Below are 20,481 nucleotides of genomic sequence, written 5' to 3'. Positions count from 1 at the left end.
CCTGACTCAGGTCAAGAATGAGAGAAAATGCATTTCAGGCAGAAGGAATAGCATGTGTGAAGGCACTGAGCAGGAAAAGAATTGGGTATGGTACAAAGAATGAATGGAAAAGCAGTGTTCCAGCAGTGTGAGGGAGCAGGGGGCAGTGGCAGGCGAGGTGGGCAGAAGTAGGCCTGCAGAGTCTTCTTAGGCCATTTTTGGGTTTCATTCTGAGTACAGTGAAAAGCTATCAGCATTACTTTTTATTTAGGTTTTCTTTGTGCATAAGTCTTCTCACAGTGCTAACAAAGACATACCTGAGACTTGGTAATTTATAAAGAAAAAGAGGTTTAATAGACTCACAGTTCCATGTGGCTGGGGAGGCCTCACAATCATGGCAGAAGGCAAACGAGCAAAGTCACATCTTACATGGTGGCAGGCAAGAGAGAGCTTGTGTGGGGAACTGCCCCTCGTAAAATCATCAGATCTCGTGAGACATATTCACTATCATGAGGACAGCATGGGAAAGACCCGCCCCCATGATTCAATTACCTCCTATCCGGTCCCTCTCACAACACATGGGAATTATGGGAGCTACAATTCAAGATGAGATTTGCGTAGGGACACAGCCAAACCATATCACTTTGTAAGAGGTCACTGAAGACTGCTGTGGGGGGAATGGATTTGGGTAGTGGGAGAGGCACCAGAATGGATGTGAGGAGACCAGGTAGAGGTGACAGCAGCTCATGGTAGGCAAAGGTGATAATGGCTTGAACAGCTGTAGGTCAGCTGGCCAAAAATCAATTCCCTTCTAGCCAGTTTCCAAAAAAATAACTTGTCAAAAACAAATCACTTCCCCTAATGATCAATTAGCTGAGTTTTTTATTTTCCAAGTGACTGATTTACCATATTTATTAAATCTATTATACAAAATCTTAAAGCAGATTTGGGACAGATTCCCACAATCATTTTGGTGCCATCACCCCAAGAACAGAGAAAGGGACAGATTCAAAGGCAGGGGCAAGGGCAGGGTGAGGAGCGGATAAGGGCCCAGTATCTGAAACAGGAAGCAGAAGTCAAACTGACATTCAGTCAAGCTGGACTGACGGAGCTGCAGGAATGACTGCTGACAACCACGCAAGCTCACACTCAAAGAACTCCTCAGGATTCTGCCTAGTTGAATTCTCACAGTCATTCTGCAAACTTATTTTCAACCAGCTGACTTTCTTCCATCTTGAACTAGAATGGTGGCTGTAAGAATGGAAAGACTTTGGAAAGACATATGATACATTTTGTAGGTGAGATCAGCAAAACTGGCTGTTGGATTAATTTAGAAAGAAGGAGGAGGGTGTGTCAACAACAACTTTAAGGCTGATGGGTTGGATGTGTGGGGATGGTGAAGAGGAGGGATGGTCAAGAATGACTTCCAGGTTGCTGTTTCAACCACCTGAGGGATGGAGGTGCCAATTGCAGACATAATAAAGATGACAGGGCTGGGTGTGGTGGCTCACACCTGTAATCCCAACACTGGAAGGCCAAGGTGGGTGGATAACCTGAGGTCAGGGGTTCAAGACTGACCAACATGGTGAAACCCATATCTACTAAAAATACAAAATAAGCCAGGCATAGTGGCACATGCCTGTAGTCCCAGCTACTCGGGAGGCTGAGGCAGGAGAATCGCTTGAACCTGGGAGACAGAGGTTGCAGTGAGCTGAGATCATGCCATTGCACTCCAGCCTGGGTGACAAGAGCAAAACTCCATCTCAAAAAATAAAAATAATAAGATGACAGGAATAGGATTGAAGAGTAAGTTTGATTATGTTAAATTTGAGATGCTTGTGAGATAGACAAGTAGATATTTCATGTTTGTATTTAATATATGGTGAGCCCAAAAGAGAGGTAGGGGCTAGAGATATCAACTGTGGAATCAGACCTATAGAAAGCATTTAAACCATGGCAATAGACCACGGCACCTAGGGAAAGAATGTGGAATGAAAAAAGAAGGGAGCTAAGATCAAGCTGTGTCCAACATTAAAGGCCAAATACAGAAGGAGGAACCAGCAGAAGAGATAGAAAAGTATCTGGAAAGGAAAACTAGGAGTGTATATTATTACAGAAACAATAAATTATTTCTATTTTTTTTTCTTTTTTTTTTTTTTTTTGAGACAGAGTCTCGCTCTATTGGCAAGCTGGAGTGCAGTGGCGTGATCTCGGCTCACTGCAACCTCCGCCTCCCGGATTCAAGCAATTCTCCTGCCTCAGCCTCCTGAGTAGCTGGGACTACAGGTGCGTGCCACCACGCCCAGCTAATTTTTGTATTTTCAGTAGAGACAGGGTTTCACCATGTTGGCCAGGATGGTCTCGATCTCTTGACCTTGTGATCCACCCGCCTCGGCCTCCCAAAGTGCTGGGATTACAGGGGTGAGCCACTGTGCCCAGCCTAGGAAGAAATTATTTCAAATCAGGGAATAATTCAGTAGGTGGAACACTGCTGAGAGGCACAGATCATCCCACCATCAAATTTGCATTGGAAAGGTATTTTTCTGCTCATTATTAATGAAGATAGATAAATATGAAAAACAAAATGTAGCAAAGATAGAGATCTAAGAGAAAGTAAATACATTTGTTGTGATTGGTAAATAATTTAAATTACCAAAAAGATTTTGTGTTAAGCATGTCAGAGTGAAAGTATGCTCTTATCTCTAATTGTCTTAAAAATCCCTCTAAAATGACAATAAAAGAGGGGGAAATGGTATAAACTAGCAAGGAGGAAGAAAATGAGAGAGGAGACACGTGGAACAGGAAAAATATATATATGGCAAGCAGATGGACAAGGGGCAGCTGAAATATTAGAGTAGAGGAAGCTGAAATGTAGGTACGTACACTACAAAACACTGGGAAATTGGAGGCTCCAAGTATTGTGAAAGCTGGAAGTCAGGCAAAAGGCTAAAAGCAAGGGAACTGGTTCAAAGTCTTTGCAATCAGTAGCATCAATACACTCAGGCTCCCACATTTACACGATGCAGTGGATGGTAGGATAAAAATACCAAGAGATGTCAAGAAGGTTAACTAAAAGTCTGCACACTGAACTGTGAGCCAGCAAAGGCTGTTCCCTTCTCTACTTTGTTTACTTCAAAGTGCCTGCAAAAAAACTTATAGCCCAAAGCAGATGGTGACCTATAAAAGACCTATAGTGACAAGTGGGGGTCCCCCAGTGAAGATGCTGGCTGGCCACCCAGTTGTCCCACAATAAGGCCCATCAGTAAACGAAGAGCCAATACACATGAAGCTTCAAGAAAGAGACCAAATCACACAAAAAAGAATTCATAAGGAACAGAAATAACAGGGCAAAATAAAAAACTTTAAAACTATAGTATCCTAAAAGAGATACAAAAACACATTGAATCTATGAAACAAAAACAGGATGCTATTTTGAAAAGAGCATTCAGAGAACAAGAAAGAGCTCATAGAAATTAAAAATGTGATAGCTGGAATAAATATTTAGTCAGGGTTGGAAGATAAAGTAGAGGAAATCTCCTGGAAGTAGAAGAAAAAGACAGTAAGAGAGAAAACATAAGAACACCAGAGGATCAAGCCTGATGTCCCATCATACATCTAATAGGACTTCCAGAAAGAAAGAAGAGAGTAAACAGAAGGAAGAAATGATCAAAGAGTAATCCCCAGGAATGAAATACATGTGTTTTCAGACTGAGAGAAATCATTAAATACCCAGCAGAATAAATGAAAAATAAAACAAGGCACACCATAGTAAAATAGAATACCAGGGATAAATAGAGGATCTCAGACTAGAAAGAAAAAAAGTCACATAATGAAAAGCTGAAAGGTAAACACAATGGAAAATTAAGTTTGCATCTAAAATTGATAAACTGAGAAATCATGATACAAACATATTTAGAACGAGTTTTCTCAACCTGATGCCATTTACTCTGTTGTTGGGGGCCTGTCTTGTGCAGTGAAGGGCACTTAGCAGCACCCCTGGCCTTCACCCACTAGATGCCAGTAATACTCCCACCCGGTACCCACATCATGATAATCAAAAATGTCTCCAGACATCCCCAAATGTCTCCTGCCAGAAGTGGGGGTGGGGGAGCGCTCTCCTTTGAGAATGATGATTTAGGAAAATGGAGGTAAATAGAGAAAAACAGCTAAACGAGTTGGAAGTGATTGGCTCCGAGGAGCAAAACCTGGAGGAAGAGGGGTGAGCAGAAAAGAGCTGGCTCTTCCAGAGAGCCTTTGCTGCTTGGCTTTTTAAATCGTATGCATACATTTCTTTGCTAGAAATAAATTTTTTTAACAACATTCGAGTGACCATGTTATTATACATGAAGTTAGGATGCTTTCCCAACTCTTCTTTTGCTAAAGCTGTTTTCTCCACAGCATAACAGTGCATTAAATGAGTTTTCTAATTGTCCCAGAAATTTGGCTGAGCCCCCAAAGCTGAGAATAAAAAGGGCTTATTGCCTACACATTCTGAAGAGGGATGCCAGTCAATCTATCCCAAGCTATGAATGAATGACCCAGGCCCTCTTGAGTGTGTCACTTTAACAGAATATATGAGGGAACGAGGAGACTGATTTGGAATGAGAATTTTCCAGGGAGAGGTTAAAACCCTATCCATTTCCCCTCCACCTGTAGTCAAGTAAGAAAGGACTACAAGAAAGCTGCTCAGCGTGCTGAACAGTACCCCCTGGAGTTTGTGAAGACTGCTGCCTAATTCTTGCATGAAAAAGTCCAGCTGCTCTAAAAACTAGTTTTTAAAAAACTTTCAAGTGAACCTGCACATGGATGTTTATAGCAGCTTTATTCATAATTGCCAAACCTTGGAAGCAATCAAGATGGCCTTCAGTAGATGAATGGATAAACTGTGGTACATCCAAACAATGAAATATTCAATATTAAAAAGGAATGAGCTATCAAGCCATGAAAAGACATGAAGGAACCTTAAATGCTTATTACTTAGTGAAAGAAGTCAGCCTGGTGTAGCTTAATACTGTATGATCCCAACTGAATGACATTCTAAAAAAGGCCAAACTGGCCAGGCACAGTGACTTATGCCTGTAATCCCAGCACTTTGGGAGGCTGAGGTGGGCAGATCGCCTGAGCCTAGGAGTTCAAGACCAGCCTGGGAAACATGGGGAAACTCTGTCTCTACAAAAATTAGCCAGGTGTGATGGTACACACCTGTAGTCCCAACTACTAGGGAGGCTGAGGTGGGAGGATTGCTTGAGCCCGGGAGGTTGTGGCTGCATTGAGCCATGAACATGCCCCTGTACTCCAGCCTGGGTGACAGAGCAAGACCCTGTCTTAAAAAAAAAAAAAGGGGGGGGCAAAACTTCAAAGACAGTAAAAATATCATTAGTGTCCAGGGGATGGGGGGAGGGAAGTATGAATAGAGCACAGAGAATTTCTGAGCAGTGAAACTACTTTATATCACACTATCATGATGGCTACCTGTCATTGTACATTTGCATAGACTGTACCACACCAAGAGTAAACCTCATGTAAACTATGGACTTTGGGTGATAGTGATAGGTCAATGTAGGTTCATCACTTGTAACAGATGTGCCACTCTGGTGGGGGATGTTGATAGTGGGGGATGTTGATAGTGGGGGAGGCTGTGCATACATAAGGGCAGGGAATGTATGGAAAACCTCTGTATCTTTTGCTCAATTTGCTGTGAACCTAAACTGCTCTAAAAATTCTATTTAAAAAAAAATGTCTAAAGGATGATGTGAACTGCCTAGGACCGCAGAGTGAGGGAAAGAGTCCCCTAGAGGGTGTGACCTGCACTTCCAAAGTTTCTTGGGAGTAAAATGTCAAGCTTTCCCATTGAGTAACTGGAAGGTAATGAGACTTGGCCCATTTGATAGGTACCTGCCTAAGAAGACTGCCTACAGGATGAGCATACACCAGCCAAAAGAACGTGGAAGGCTGTACCTTCTGATAAGAGTCGGAGGAGGGATATCTAAGAGTCAGGAGGAGGGAGCATTACATAGGTTAGGGCATAGTAACTGAGAGTCCCTTATTGCAAAGGGGTCTCCAGAGAACCCACAAAAACACCCCATTGGAGAACGAGCTCGCATTTGTGAGTCAACACCAAATTACAATGACAACCACTAAGATAAGACTTTTTTCTGCTTTTATCTAATTTGTGAAAGAATAAAGCAGAAAAAAAAATCACCCACTGGCAAAAAGGAGATGACAATGCAAAGTTTCTCAGCTTGGACTCTATCAGCACCAAGGTAAGATGATGTGCAGGACTGGGGTAGGGCAGGTTGCAGCTTAAATTAAGATGGGCTTCACTCGTTCATCAGAAATAAAGAACCAAGAGAAAAACACATGTAACACCTCTGTCTTCTAATGATCCCCCATTTCTGTTTGGTTTTTAATCCCACAGGCTTAGCCTTTGCAATGCTGGCAGCTGTGCCTCCAATATTTGGCCTGTACTCTTCATTTTACCCTGTTATCATGTATTGTTTTCTTGGAACCTCCAGACACATATCCATAGGTAAAAGCTTACATTTGATATTCTATTACCTTTCCTTGTGTATTTCCAACCTTGCAATGTGCCAAAGAAATAGCATGGTCATTATTAAAAATTGTCTTAATAACAACTTTTGTTACTGCATACACAATAGGTGCTTTAAAAACCTACACTCGGCCAGGTGCGGTGGCTCATCCCTGTAATCCCAGCACTCTGGGAGGCCGAGGCGGGCAGATCGTCTGAGGTCAGTAGTTCGAGACCAGCCAGACCAACATAGTGAAACCCCATCTCTTTGTAAAAATACAAAAATTTGCCAGGCTTGGTGAGGGGTGACTGTAATCCCAGCTACTCAGGAGGCTGAGGCAGGAGAATCGCTTCAACCTGGGAGGCAGAGATTGCAGTGAGCTGAGATCACACCACTGCACTCCAACCTGGGCAACAGAACGAGACTCTGTCTCAAAAAAAAAAAAAACAAAAAAAAAACTACACTCCTCCCAAGATTTCTAGAACTTACAATTTTCTTATAATCTTGGGATAATAAAAAAGACAATTTTCTTGTGTAAAAGGGCAATTGTTGAAATCTGTGAAATGAGATAAATGCTTGATTTCATAATGTAATTTGCCAGCTTCTGGTTTTTATTTTTATACTAATGGTAGTACTTCAAGTTCCTAATCGCTATGCATGTATTTCATTTTTGTCATATTTTGGGCTCTGAATTGTACATATTTTCAGTTTATCAGGGGCATATGGATTTCATAATAGTTCTGGTGCTGCATAAGGCTACTACCTAACACACACATACTTTCCAGATATCTACTGTTTGGTAACAAATACCCCCAAAATGTAGCAGCTTTACAACAACAATCATGTTTGTATCTTCCATAGTGCCTGCAGTTCAGGACTTGGGAAGGGCTGGTCTGGGTAATTCTTCCTCTCTCCCTTTTTCCTCCCTCCCTTCCCTCTTCCCTGCCTTCCTTTCTCCATGCAGTCCCAGGAATTCTCCACTTGGCCTAGTTGGAGCTTTCTTACACATGGTGACTTAGGGCTTCAGCAGAAGGTGGAAACTGCAGCCCTTTTATTACCTAGCCTGAGAAGTCACACAACGTCACTTCTGCTGCATTCTTTTGATTACTAACAAGTCAAAGCCAAGCCAGATTCAAGGAGAGAGAAATTAGACTCCACCTCTTGATGGGGAAATGTCAAGAAGACTCTGTGGATGGAAGATATTGCTATGTCTATTTTTGGAAAATACAGTCTGCATGCGCACACACGCACACACACGGTTGCTCATACACCAGGGGCAGGACACTAAAGAAGGGAGCGTAGCCTTCCTTCAAGCATGATTTCTTGACCTCACCTTTGTCTCTTGGTGTACTGGCAAAAACCATATCAGATACTCTGAACCCTGAACAGGGATCTTCATGCTTCATTATTTCAGGTCCTTTTGCTGTTATTAGCCTGATGATTGGTGGTGTAGCTGTTCGATTAGTACCAGATGATATAGTCATTCCAGGAGGAGTAAATGCAACCAATGGCACAGAGGCCAGAGATGCCTTGAGAGTGAAAGTCGCCATGTCTGTGACCTTACTTTCAGGAATCATTCAGGTAAGGCTCAAAGATGGGGAAATGGACTGTCTCGTTTGTTAACCTAACAAGTATCTACTGAGTGCTCTTGGCTGGTCTTACTACACGGTGGATGGGGTCAGCCAGAAAAACCCCAGAGCTCTGGGAGTAACTGCAGACCAACTGCATGCCATATTCACAACTATGAGTGACGAGCAAGCAAGCTTCAGGTGGGTGTTTTAAAGATCCCAAAAGCAAGACAAGTTTGACACGGCAGGATTGGTTAGTGCTGGGAGAGGACATTCCTCTCTGCTTGGAAGAAACAGCCAGTGATCATGATCATGCACTTTAGTCTACATGATGAAGCATGCCCCCAGCTCAATGAGAGACAGGGAAGGCATTAGTGTGGTCAGCGCACTGTGGGGCACCAAGCCACTCCAGACCTTCCATTGTTTTCTGTATAACCAGTGGTTGATTTTCTAGCTACTTACCCACTTGAGGTACAAGTTTGCAGTGTTAGAAAATGGTCCAGAGGCTGGGCGCGGTGGCTCACACCTTTAATCCCAGCACTTTGGGAGGCTGAGGCAGGCGAATCACAAGGTCAGGAGTTCGAGACCACCCTGGGCAACATAGTGAAACCCCGTGTCTACTAAAAATACAAAAATTAGCCGGACATGGTGGCACACACCTTTAGTCCCAGCTACTCAGGAGGCTGAGGCAGGAGAATCGCTTGAACCCGGGAGGCAGAGGTTGCAGTGAGCTGAGACTGTGCCACTGCCTGGGTGACAGAGCAAGACTCCATCTCAAAAAAAAAAGAAAATGGTCAAGAAAGAACTTGTATATTTGCTGTGGGTCATAACTTCCTGACCTATCATGTGATTCATTTGTTTCTTTGTCATTAAAAAAAAATAGTTTTGCCTAGGTGTCTGTAGGTTTGGATTTGTGGCCATATATCTCACAGAGCCTCTGGTCCGTGGGTTTACCACCGCAGCAGCTGTGCATGTCTTCACCTCCATGTTAAAATATCTGTTTGGAGTTAAAACAAAGCGGTACAGTGGAATCTTTTCCGTGGTGTATGTAAGTAAGAAACTACCTGACGTTCTGGTACTTTTCTCTTTATTCCCCCCAACCTTCTCTTCTGTATCTCTTTTTACTTTCAAGACTCATTTTTCTTTTTCTCCAGTAATTTCCATAAAAAGGGAAAAATTCATTTATTCTAAGGTTTTCTGAAAAGAGTGTTACAAAGAGAACTAAACCTTAAAATCTCTGTTATTAATATGTGATACTGCCTACTTCACAAGGAATTTTTTGCTAGGTCTTTATTTGGTGACTGCACCATCACTCTAGGTAAAGAGAGAGCTTTTTCTTACAACTAAATCATGATCTTTTTGGAAACTAACAAATAATTTAAAGGCATGAAGGTAGAACATTTCTCTCTCAAAAACTGCTAATTAAGGCCGGGCGTGGTGGCTTATGCCTGTAATCCCAGCACTTTGAAAGGGCTAGATGGGCGGATCACGAGGTCAGGAGATCGAGACTATCCTGGCTAACAAGTGAAACCCCGTCTCTACTAAAAATAGAAAAAAATTAGCCAGGTGTGGTGGCGGGCACCTGTGATCCCAGCTACTCAGGAGGCTGAGACAGGAGAATGGCGTGAACCCGGGAGGTGGAGCTTGTAGTGACCCGAGATCCCATCACTGCACTCCAGCCTGAGCGACAGAGCAAGACTCTGTCTCAAAAAAAAAACAAAACCTGCTAGTTCAAACTGGCAAAAAATAAGTAAGGCTATAAAAGATTTAACTAACATGAATCTTTTAATTATATAGACCCCTTACCAAACACAGAGAAAATATAAATTATTTGCAAGCACTTAAGGAACAATGGTAATAACTGATCATGTTGAAATCGATCATGTGAAACTGATCACAAATTCTAAAAATTCAATGTTTTTTCACACAGTGCAATATAATAAAAAAATCAAAAACTAAACATAGCTTTAAAACTCCCATATATTTAGAAACCAAAAAACATTTCTAAATGACCCATGAATAAAGAGGGAATTAGGAAATAATTAGAATTAATTGACAGTAGAAGTACTACATATCAAAACCTCTGAGATGCTGTTAAAGCTATCCTTGAAAAGAGAGGCCTGTTGCCTTTGTAGGTATTTATGTGCCAGACACTGCTAGGTGCCAAGATGCAGCTGTGAGCTAAGAAGATACAGGCCTTGCCCTCTGGAGCTTTCAGTACAGTGGGAAGATTGTAAACCATTAATCGCATACATGTGTAGTCAATTACAATTTGTGTTGAGTGCTATGAAGAAGAAGTACCAGCTGCTCTGAAAGTTAAATAGGGAGACCTTTAGATTAGGGGTCTAGGAAAGGCACTTTGACATTTAAGTTGAGTCCCTGACTGATAAAAATGGAATCAGGCTTTAGGAATATTCTCTAAATAACAAAATTCTTAGTTTCCCATAATAGCTATTATCATACTTCTTACTCTGAGACTTGTCGAAATGCCTTGTCACAAAGGAAATAAAACATACTGAGTACTCTAGGCATCGATAGGAAAGGGTGCATGTTGTGGGCTGAGTGGGAAGTCTACTTTATTGGGTTTCAAATGAGAACTGACTATATTTGAGGTGCCCAGTTGGTAACCCTAGGATATAATTAAGTGGATTTGTTCTCTAGTTCTCCTAGGTTCCTTTCCCAAACATCAGCACTCTTGACTTCAAAGTCCTGCTAACAATAATTTCTCTCTCTTTGAGCTCCTAAAAGCTTTTCAATGTATTTACCTTTGGAGTACTTTGCTATCAACCCTTAATTCTTTCCAATTGCTCAGGACTCAGCTTCAGGGTTCCTTTTCTGGATTTTATAATATTACATTGAGACATCAGCATATGATAAGAATAATTGTTTGATAAGAATAACTATAAGGCTGGGCACAGTGGCTCACACCTGTAATCCCAGAACTTTGGGAGGCCGAGGCAGGCAGATGACTTGAGGTCAGGAGTTCGAGACCAGCCTGACCAACATGGTGAAACTCCGTGTCTACTAAAAATACAAAAATTAGCTGGGTGTGGCGGCAGGCACCTGTAATCCCAGCTACTCAGGAGGCTGAGGCAGGAGAATTGCTTGAACCTGGGAGGCAGAGGTTGCAGTGAGCCAAGATCATGCCACTGCACTGCAGCCTGGGCAACAGAGCAAGACTGTGTCTCAAAAATAAATAAATAAATAAATAACAACTATAAAAAGAAAAGAGTAACAACTATAAAGTTGTAGACTGGGTAAAAATGCCTCCTAATTGGTAGAAGCTACAAAGAGAGATTTCAGCCTTGGAACTTTCCACTAGAAATATCCAATAACGGAATGGCTGGTGTGAATTAGTGCGCTAGAGTGTCTCTGTCTCTCTCAGGGGCGATTTCTTGATGTAAACATCCAGCATTCACTGTGTTACAGAGTACAGTTGCTGTGTTGCAGAATGTTAAAAACCTCAACGTGTGTTCCCTAGGCGTCGGGCTGATGGTTTTTGGTTTGCTGTTGGGTGGCAAGGAGTTTAATGAGAGATTTAAAGAGAAATTGCCGGCGCCTATTCCTTTAGAGTTCTTTGCGGTAAGTCACCTTCGGTCAGTGACCTACTCGGCTTCTACAACTGCATTTACTTATTTCTGTGAGGGATTTTGAAGTGGATGAAAGGAATTTTTTGCTCTCAATTCTGCCAAAAGAAGGTTACAATTTGTCAAATTTGACAAATTCATTGACAAGAAAGTAAAAAGAAAAAGCCTTAAAACATAGACACAGATGATTTTTTAAATTATATGTAAGACTCTGCATGAAAATTTTAACATTAATTACAAGTGATGGGATTATGGAGGATTTTCTCCTCAAATTTTTATTGGCTAATTGTTTTGTAATGAGTACATATTACTTTAATAACCTAAAAAAGAAATCCATTTCCATTTTGACAAAGCAAAGGTTCCCAAACTTTCTCCATCCCTTGACACTCCTGAGCCAAAAGAAATACCTCACAGTTCCACTTATTAAGTAGTTAGGTCCACTTTAATAATATTTATGTTTAACAACTTCGTAGTTGTTTATAAAAATATGCACATAAATTGGAATAAAAATATTTTATTATGTTCTTAAGTAACCACAATTATGTAATCATGGAATGCATATGCCTGATGGGAACTGCTTAGATCCTCAAACCTCTGAATCAAAAAGGACAATGCTACCTTCATTTCCTGTTCACATGAATATGTATGTGGTTCCTGCTTTTTCATCACAGCAACCACTGAACACCCAGCTTTGCAAAGATATGGCATTATTGAAAGGAACACAGTGTTCAAACTGTGAACTATTGCCAACTAGAAGTTTGCACAGTGCCCAATAGATGTCACTGTTTCACTGGGGACCTTTTAATATCCAAAGTGTCCCACAGAGTGCCCTTAGCACCCTGGGGCTTGTTTGCACGTGTGTGGGAGCGGCAAGGATAAGAAATGAAGAGTCGTCTAGGTGTGGTGACTCCACATCTGTAATCCTAGCACTTTGGGAGGCCAAGGCGGGCAGATCACTTGAGGCCAGGAGTTCGAGGCCAGCCTGGCTAACATGGTGAAACCCCGTCTCTACTAAAAATACAAAAAATTAGATGTGGTGAAATGCACCTGTAATCCCAGCTACTTGGGAGACTGAGGCATGAGAATTGCTTGAACCTGGGAGGCAGAGGTTGCAGTGAGCCAAGATCACACCTCTGCACTCCAGCCTGGGTGACAAAGCAAGATTTTGTCTCAAAAGAAATGAAGAGTACATTTGGGGGTAAAGGGCTGGCAAGATGGCCGAATAGGAACAGCTCTGGTCTGCAGCTCCCTTCGAGATCAACACAGAAGGTGGGTGATTTCTGCATTTCCACCTGAGGAATCCGGCTCACCTCATTGGGCATGGTTAGACAATGGATGCAGCCCACAGAGGGCAAGCTGAACCAGGGTGGGGCATCACTTCACCCAGGAAGCGCAAGGGGTCAGGGAATTCCCTCCCTTAGCCAAGGGAAGCTGTGAGGTACTGTGCTGTGAGGAACAGTGCATTCTGGCCCAGACACTATGCTTTTCTCATGGTCTTCACAACCCACAGACTAGGAGACTCCCCTGGGTGCCTACACCACCAAGATTCCCTTGGATTTCAAGCACAAAACTGGGCAGCTATTTGGGCAGACACTGAGCTAGCTGCAGGAGTTTTTTTCATACCCCAGTGGTGCCTGGAACACCAGTGAGACAGAGCCATTCACTCCCTTGGAAAGGGGGCTAAAGGCAGGGAGCCAAGTGGTCTAGCTCAGCGGATCCCACCCCTGCAGAGCCCAGAAAGCTAAGCTCCATTGGCTTGAAATTCTCACTGCCACCACAGCAGTCTGAAGTCAACCTGGGACGCTTGAGCTTGGTGGGGGGAGGGGCATCTGCCATTACTGAGGCTTCAGTAGGCGGTTTTCCCCTCACAGTGTAAACAAAGCCACCTGGAAGGTCCAACTGGGTGGATTCCACCGCAGCTCAGCAAAGCTGCTGTAGCCAGACTGCTTCTCTAGATTCCTCCTCTCTGGGCAGGGCATCTCTGAAAGAAAGGCAGCAGCCACAATCAGGGGCTTATAGATAAAACTCCCATCTCCCTGGGACAGAGAACCTGGGGGAAGGGGCAGCTGTGGGCGCAGCTTCAGCAAACTTAAACATTCCGGTCTGCCAGCTCTGAAGAGAGCACCAGATCTCCTAGCACAGCATTCGAGCTCTGCTAAGGGTCAGACTGCCTTCTCAAGTGGGACCCCCGTAACTCCTGACTGGGAGACACCTCCCAGTAGGGGCCAAAGACACCTCATCCAGGGGATCTCTGGCTGGCATATGGCGGGTGCCCCTCTGGGACAAAGCTTCTGGAGGAAGGAACAGGTAGCAATCATTGCTGTTCTGCAGCCTTCGCTGGTGATACCCAGGCAAACAGGGTCTGGAATGGACGTCAGCAAACTCCAGCACACCTGTAGCAGAGGGGCCTGACTGTTAGAAGGAAAACTAACAAACAGAAAGGAATAGCATCAACATCAACAGAAAGGACGTCAACATAAAAACCCCATCCGAAGGTCACCAAGAGCAAAGACCAAAGGTAGATAAATCCATGAAGATGAGGAAAAACCAATGCAAAAAGCTGAAAATTCCAAAAGCCAGAACACCTCTTCTCCTTCAAAGGATCACAACTCTTCACCAGCAAGGGAACAAAAGTGGATGGAGAATGAGTTTGACGAATGGACAGAAGTAAGCTTCAGAAGGTGGGTAATAACAAACTCCTCCGAGCTAAAGGAACATATTCTAACCCAATGCAAGGAAGCTAAGAACCTTGAAAAAAGGTTAGAGGAATTGCTAACTAGAATAACCAGTTTAGAGAAGAACATAAATGACTTGATGGAGCTGAAAAACACAGCACAAGAATTTCATGAAGCATACACAAGTATAAATAGTCAAATCAAACAGAAGAAAGGGTATCAGAGATTGAAGATCAACTTAATGAAATATAGTGTAAAGACAAGATTAGAGGAAAAAAAAAGAATGAAAAGGAATGAACAAAGCCTCCAGGAAATATGGGACTGTGTGAAAAGACCAAACCTACGTTTGACTGGTGTACCTGAAAGTGACGGGGAGAATGGAACCAAGTTGGAAAACACTCTTCAGGACATTATCCAGGAGAACTTCCACAACCTAGCAAGACAGGCCAACAGTCAAATTCAGGAAATACAGAGAACACCACAAAGATACTCCTCAAGAAGAGCAACCCCAAGACACATAATCATCAGATTCACCAAGGTTGAAATGAAGGAAAAAATGTTAAGGGCAGCCAGAGAGAAAGGTCGGGTTACCCACAAAGGGAACCCCATCAGACTAATAGCGGATCTATCTGCAGACACCCTACAAGCCAGAAGACAGTGGGAGCCAATATTCAACATTCTTAAAGAAAATTTTCAAACCAGAATTTCACATCCAGCCAAACTAAGCTTCATAAGCAAAGGATAAATGAAATCCTTTACAGACAAGCAAATGCTGAGAGATTTTGTCACCACCAGGCCTGCCTTACAAGAGCTCCTGAGAAAGCACTAAATGTGGAAAGGAAAACCCGGTACCAGCCACTGCAAAAACAAATGAAAATGTAAAAAGCATCGATACTGTGAAGAAACTGCATCAACTAATGGGCAAAATAACCAGCTAGCATCATAATGACAGGATCAAATTCACACATAACAATATTTTTTTTTTTTGAGACAAAGTCTTGCTCTTGTCCCCCAGGCTGGAGTGCAATGGTGCGATCTCGGTTCACTGCAACTTCCGCTTCCCGGGTTCAAGCAATTCTCCTGCTTCAGCCTCCTGAGTAGCTGGGATTACAGGTGCCTGCCACCACGCCCAGCTAGTTTTTGTATTTTTAGCAGAGACTGGGTTTCACCATGTTGGCCAGGCTGGTCTCGAACTCCTGACCTCAGGTGATCTGCCTGCCTTAGCCTCCCAAAGTGCTGGGATTACAGGCGTGAGCCACCGCACCTGGCCCACGCATAACAATATTAACCTTAAATGTAAGAGGGCTAAATGCCCCAACTGAAAGACACAGATTGGCAAATTAGATAAAGAGTCAAAACCCATCAGTGTGCTGTATTCGGGAGACTCATCTCATATACAAAGACACACATAGTCTCAAAATAAAGGGATGGAGGAAGATATACCAAGCAAATGAAAAGCAAAAAAAAAAAAAAAAGCAGGGGATTGCAGTTCTAGTCTCTGATAAAACAGACTTTAAACCAACAAAGATCAAAAAAGACAAGGGCATTACATAATGATAAAGAGATCAATGCAGCAAGAAGAGGTAACTACCCTAAATATATATGCACCCAATACAGGAGCACCCAGATTCATAAACCAAGTCCTTAGAGACCTACAAAGAGACTTAGACTCCCACACAATAATAGTGGGAGACTTTAACACCCCACTGTCAATATGAGACAGGTCAATGACACAGAAAATTAGCAAGCATATTCAGGACTTGAACTCAGCTCTGGACCAAGCAAACCTAATAGACATCTACAGAACTCTTCACCCCAAATCAACAGAATATTCATTCTTCTCAGCACCACATCACTCTGATTCTAAAATTGACCTCATAATTGGAAGTAAAACACTTAGCAAATACAAAAGAATGGAAATCATAACAAACAGTCTGTCAGACCACAGTGCAGTCAAATTAGAACTCACGATCAAGAAACTCACTCAAAACTGCATAACTACATGGAAACTGAAAAACCTGCTCCTGAATGACTACTGGGTAAATAACAATATTAAGGCAGAAATAAATAAGTTATTTGAAACCAATGAGAACAAAGACACAACGACCAGAATCTCTGGGACACAGCTAAAACAGTGTTTAGAGGGAAATTTATAGCACTAAATGCCCACAGGAGAAAGTGGGAAAATCTAAAATCAACACCCTAACATCACAATTAAAATAACTTGAGAAGGAAGAGCAAACAAATCCAAAAGCTGGCAGAAGACAAGAAATAACTAAGATCAGAGCAGAACTGAAGGAGATAGAGACAAGAAAAACCCTTCAAAAAAATCAATGAATCCAGGAGCTGGTTTTCTGAAAAGATTAACAAAATAGATAGACTATTAGCCAGACTAATAAGAAGAATCAAATAGGCACAGTAAAAAATGAGAAAGGGGATATCACCACTGCTCCCACAGAAATACAAACTACTGGCTGGGCACGGTGGCTCACGCCTGTAATCCGAGCACTTTGGGAGGCCGAGGCAGGCAAATCAGAAAGTCAAGAGATCAAGACCATATTGGCCAACATGGTGAAATCCCCTCTCTATTAAAAATAAAAAAAATTAGCCAGACATGGTGGCACATGCCTGTAGTCCCAGCTACTTGGGAGGTTGAGGCAGGAGAATCACTTGAATCTGGGAGGCAGAGGTTGCAGTGAGCCAAGATCACACTAGTGCACTCCAGCCTGGGCAACAGAGCGAGAATGAGACTCTGTCTCAAAAAAAAAAAAAAAAAAGAGCAATACGTACAAACTACCATCAGAGAATACTATAAACACCTCTATGCAAATTAACTAGAAAATCTAGAAGAAATGGATAAATTCCTGGACACATACACCCTCCCAAGACTAAACCAGGGGGAACTTGAATCCCTGAATAGACCAATAACAGGCTCTGAAATTGAGGCAGCAATTAATAGCCTACCACCAAAAAAAAGTCCAGGACCAAATGGATTCACAGCCGAATTCTACCAGAGGTACAAAGAGAAGCTGGTACCATTCCTTCTGAAACTATTCCAAACAATAGAAAAAGAGGGAATCCTCCCTAACTGATTTTATGATGCCAGCATCATCCTGCTACCAAAACCTGGCAGAGACACAACAACAAAAAAAAGAAAATTTCAGGCCAGCATCCCTGATGAATATCGATGCGAAAATCCTCAATAAAATACTGGCAAACTGAATCCAGCAGCACATTAAAAAGCTTGTCCACCATGATCAAGTCAGCTTCATCCCTGGGATGCAAGGCTGGTTCAACATACACAAATCAATAAACATAGTCCATCACATAAACAGAACCAATGACAAAAACCACTTGATTATCTCAATAGATGCAGAAAAGGCCTTCAAGGAAATTCAACAGCCCTTCAAGCTAAAAACTCTCAAATGAGGTATTGATGGAACATATCAAAATAATAAGAGCTATTTATGACAAACCCACAGCCAATATCATACTGAATAGGCAAAAACTGGAAGCATTCCCTTTGAAAACCAGCACAAGAAAAGGATGCCCTCTCTCACCACTCCTATTCAACATAGTATTGGAAGTTCTGGCCAGGACAATCAGGCAAGAGAAAGAAATAAAGGGTATTCAAATAGGAAGAGAGGAAGTCAAATTGTCTGTTTGCAGGTGACATTATTTTATATTTAGAAAAACCCTTCGTATCAGCCCCAAATCTCCTTAAGCTGATAAGCAACTTCAGCAAAGTATCGGGATACAAAATCAATGTGCAAAAATCACAAGCATTCCTATACATCAAAAATAGAGAGCCAAATCATGAGCAAACTCCCATTCACAATTGCTCCAAAGAGAAGAAAATGTCTATGAATACAACTTATAAGGGATGTGAAGGACCTCTTCAAGGAGAACTACAAACCACTGCTCAAGGAAATCAGAGAGGACACAAACAAATGGAAAAACATTCCATGCTCATGGATAGGAAGAATCAAAATCGTGAAAATGGTCATACTGCCCAAAGTAATTTATAGAATTTATAGATTCAATGCTATCCCCATCAAGCTACCACTGACTTTCTTCACAGAATTAGAAAAAACTACTTTAAATTTCACATGGGACCAAAAAAGGGCCCGCATAGCCAAGACAATCCTAAGCAAAAAGAACAAAGCTGGATGCAACACGTTACCTGACTTCAAACTATACTACAAGGCTACAGTAACCAAAACAGCATGGTACTGGTACCAAAACAGATATATAGACCTGTGGAACAGAACAGAGGCCTCAGAAATAACACCACACATCTACAACCATCTGATCTTTGACAAACTTGGCAAAAACAAGCATGGGGAAAGGATTCCCTATTTAATAAATGGTGTTGGGAAAACTGGCTAGCCATATGTGGAAAACTGCACCCCTTTCTTACACCTTATACAAAAATTAACTCAAGATGGATTAAAGACTTAAATGTTAAGGCCTAAAACCGTAAAAACCCTGGAAGAAAACCTAGGCAGTACCATTCAGGACATAGGCATGGGCAAAGACTTCATGACTAAAACACCAAAAGCAATGGCAACAAAAGCCAAATTGACAAATGGGATCTAATTAAACTAAAGAGCTTCTGCACAGCAAAAGAAACTACCGTCAGAGTGAACAGGCAACCTACAGAATGGGAGAAAATTTTTGCAATCTGTCCATCTGACAAAGGGCTAATATCCAGAATCTACAAGGAACTTAAACAAATTTACAAGAAAAAAACAACCCTATGAAAAAGTGGGCAAAGGCTATGAACAGACACTTTTCAAAAGAAGACGTTTATGCAGCCAACAAACATATGGAAAAAAGCTCATCATCACTGGCCATTAGAGAAATGCAAATCAAAACCACAACGGGATACCATCTCATGCCAGTTAGACTGGTGATCATTTAAAAATCAGGAAACAACAGATGCTGGAGAGGGTGTGGAGAAATAGGAATGCTTTTACACTGTTGGTGGGAGTGTAAATTAGTTCAACCATTGTGGAAGACAGTGTGGTGATTCCTCAAGGATTTAGAACTAGAAATACCATTTGACCCAGCAATCCCGTTACTGGGTATATACCCAAAGGATTATAAATCATGCCACTATAAAGACACATCCACACATGTGTTTATTGCAGCACTATTCACAATAGCAAAGACTTGGAACCAACCCAAATGCCCATCAATGATAGACTGGATAAAGAAAATGTGGCACATATACACCATGGAATACTATGCAGCCATAAAAAAGGATGAGTTCATGTCCTTTGCAGGGACATGGATGAAGCTGGAAACCATCATTCTCAGCAAACTAACACAGGAACAGAAAACCAAACACCACATGTTCTCACTTGCAAGTGGGAGTTGAACAATGAGAACACATGGACACAGGCAGGGGAACATCACACACTGGGGCCTGTCCATGGGTCAGGGGCTGAGGAGGGATAGCATTAGGAGAAATACCTAATGTAGATGATGGTTGATGGGTGCAGCAAACCACCATGGCACTTGTGTATGTATGTAACCTGCACATTCTGCACATGTATCCCAGAACTTAAAGTATAATAAATTTAAAAATTTAAAAAAGAAGTGAAGAGTATAGGTGTCTGATCCAAATTATAACAACAAGTTCTAGCTGTGGAAACAACTGGCTGGCGTAGCTCACAAGGAAGCAATACCTTCAAACCTTTTCTTTTCCTCAGTCTTGTCTACATGGCATTAGAACCTTTTAACAGGCAAAACAAAACGAAATGTATCTCTAACAGTTTCAAAACCTCTTCTCTCACTGGGGCTAGGCACAGAGTTCCCATTTTGACTTGGAGTACAGCAAGAGGTTCTGAGCACCTTTGCGTGGGAAAGAAGTCAGGCAAGCCCCAATTATGAAGTAAATGACCAGCTTGCCTCTCCTGCTTTGGGTTACTAATTCTGTTTCCCAGATTCCCTTTAAAGACTCTTCCATGTTTCCCAGGGGAATGGTTTCCCAGAATTCTAGAAAGTTTAGGGACAGCATCTTTATGACTCCCTTTAAGTGTCAAATTTATTTTTTATTATAAAAATATTTTTTGAGTTTTGCATTCAATTTTATAATACATCTGTTTGTCTTGATAAGAAAACAATGGTTTAAATT

At 42.0% G+C, this 20,481-nt stretch overlaps 1 protein-coding gene across 14 annotated transcripts in view; it reads left to right on the top strand.

Annotated features, from left to right (window-relative positions):
* Nucleotides 1–20,481, top strand: part of SLC26A5 (solute carrier family 26 member 5) — a 93,478-nt gene that overhangs the window by 26,698 nt on the left and 46,299 nt on the right. For 13 of the 14 annotated variants that reach the window (NR_135802.2, NR_135801.2, NR_120443.1 and 10 more), the window contains 4 exons: nt 6,398–6,508; nt 7,924–8,090; nt 8,961–9,125; nt 11,507–11,659. Coding sequence is in view for 8 of the 14 variants with exons in the window: in NM_206885.3 (NP_996768.1) it covers nt 6,398–6,508; nt 7,924–8,090; nt 8,961–9,125; nt 11,507–11,659 (596 nt within the window). In the remaining 6 variants the exon portion in view is untranslated. The remainder of the gene's footprint in view (nt 1–6,397; nt 6,509–7,923; nt 8,091–8,960; nt 9,126–11,506; nt 11,660–20,481) is intronic. The other variant, NR_120442.1, reaches the window with a different exon arrangement.

The sequence above is a fragment of the Homo sapiens genome, chromosome 7 (assembly GCF_000001405.40).
Source record: "Homo sapiens chromosome 7, GRCh38.p14 Primary Assembly".
Taxonomy (NCBI): Eukaryota; Metazoa; Chordata; class Mammalia; order Primates; family Hominidae; genus Homo; species Homo sapiens.
This window is presented reverse-complemented; position numbering and strand designations above follow the sequence as displayed.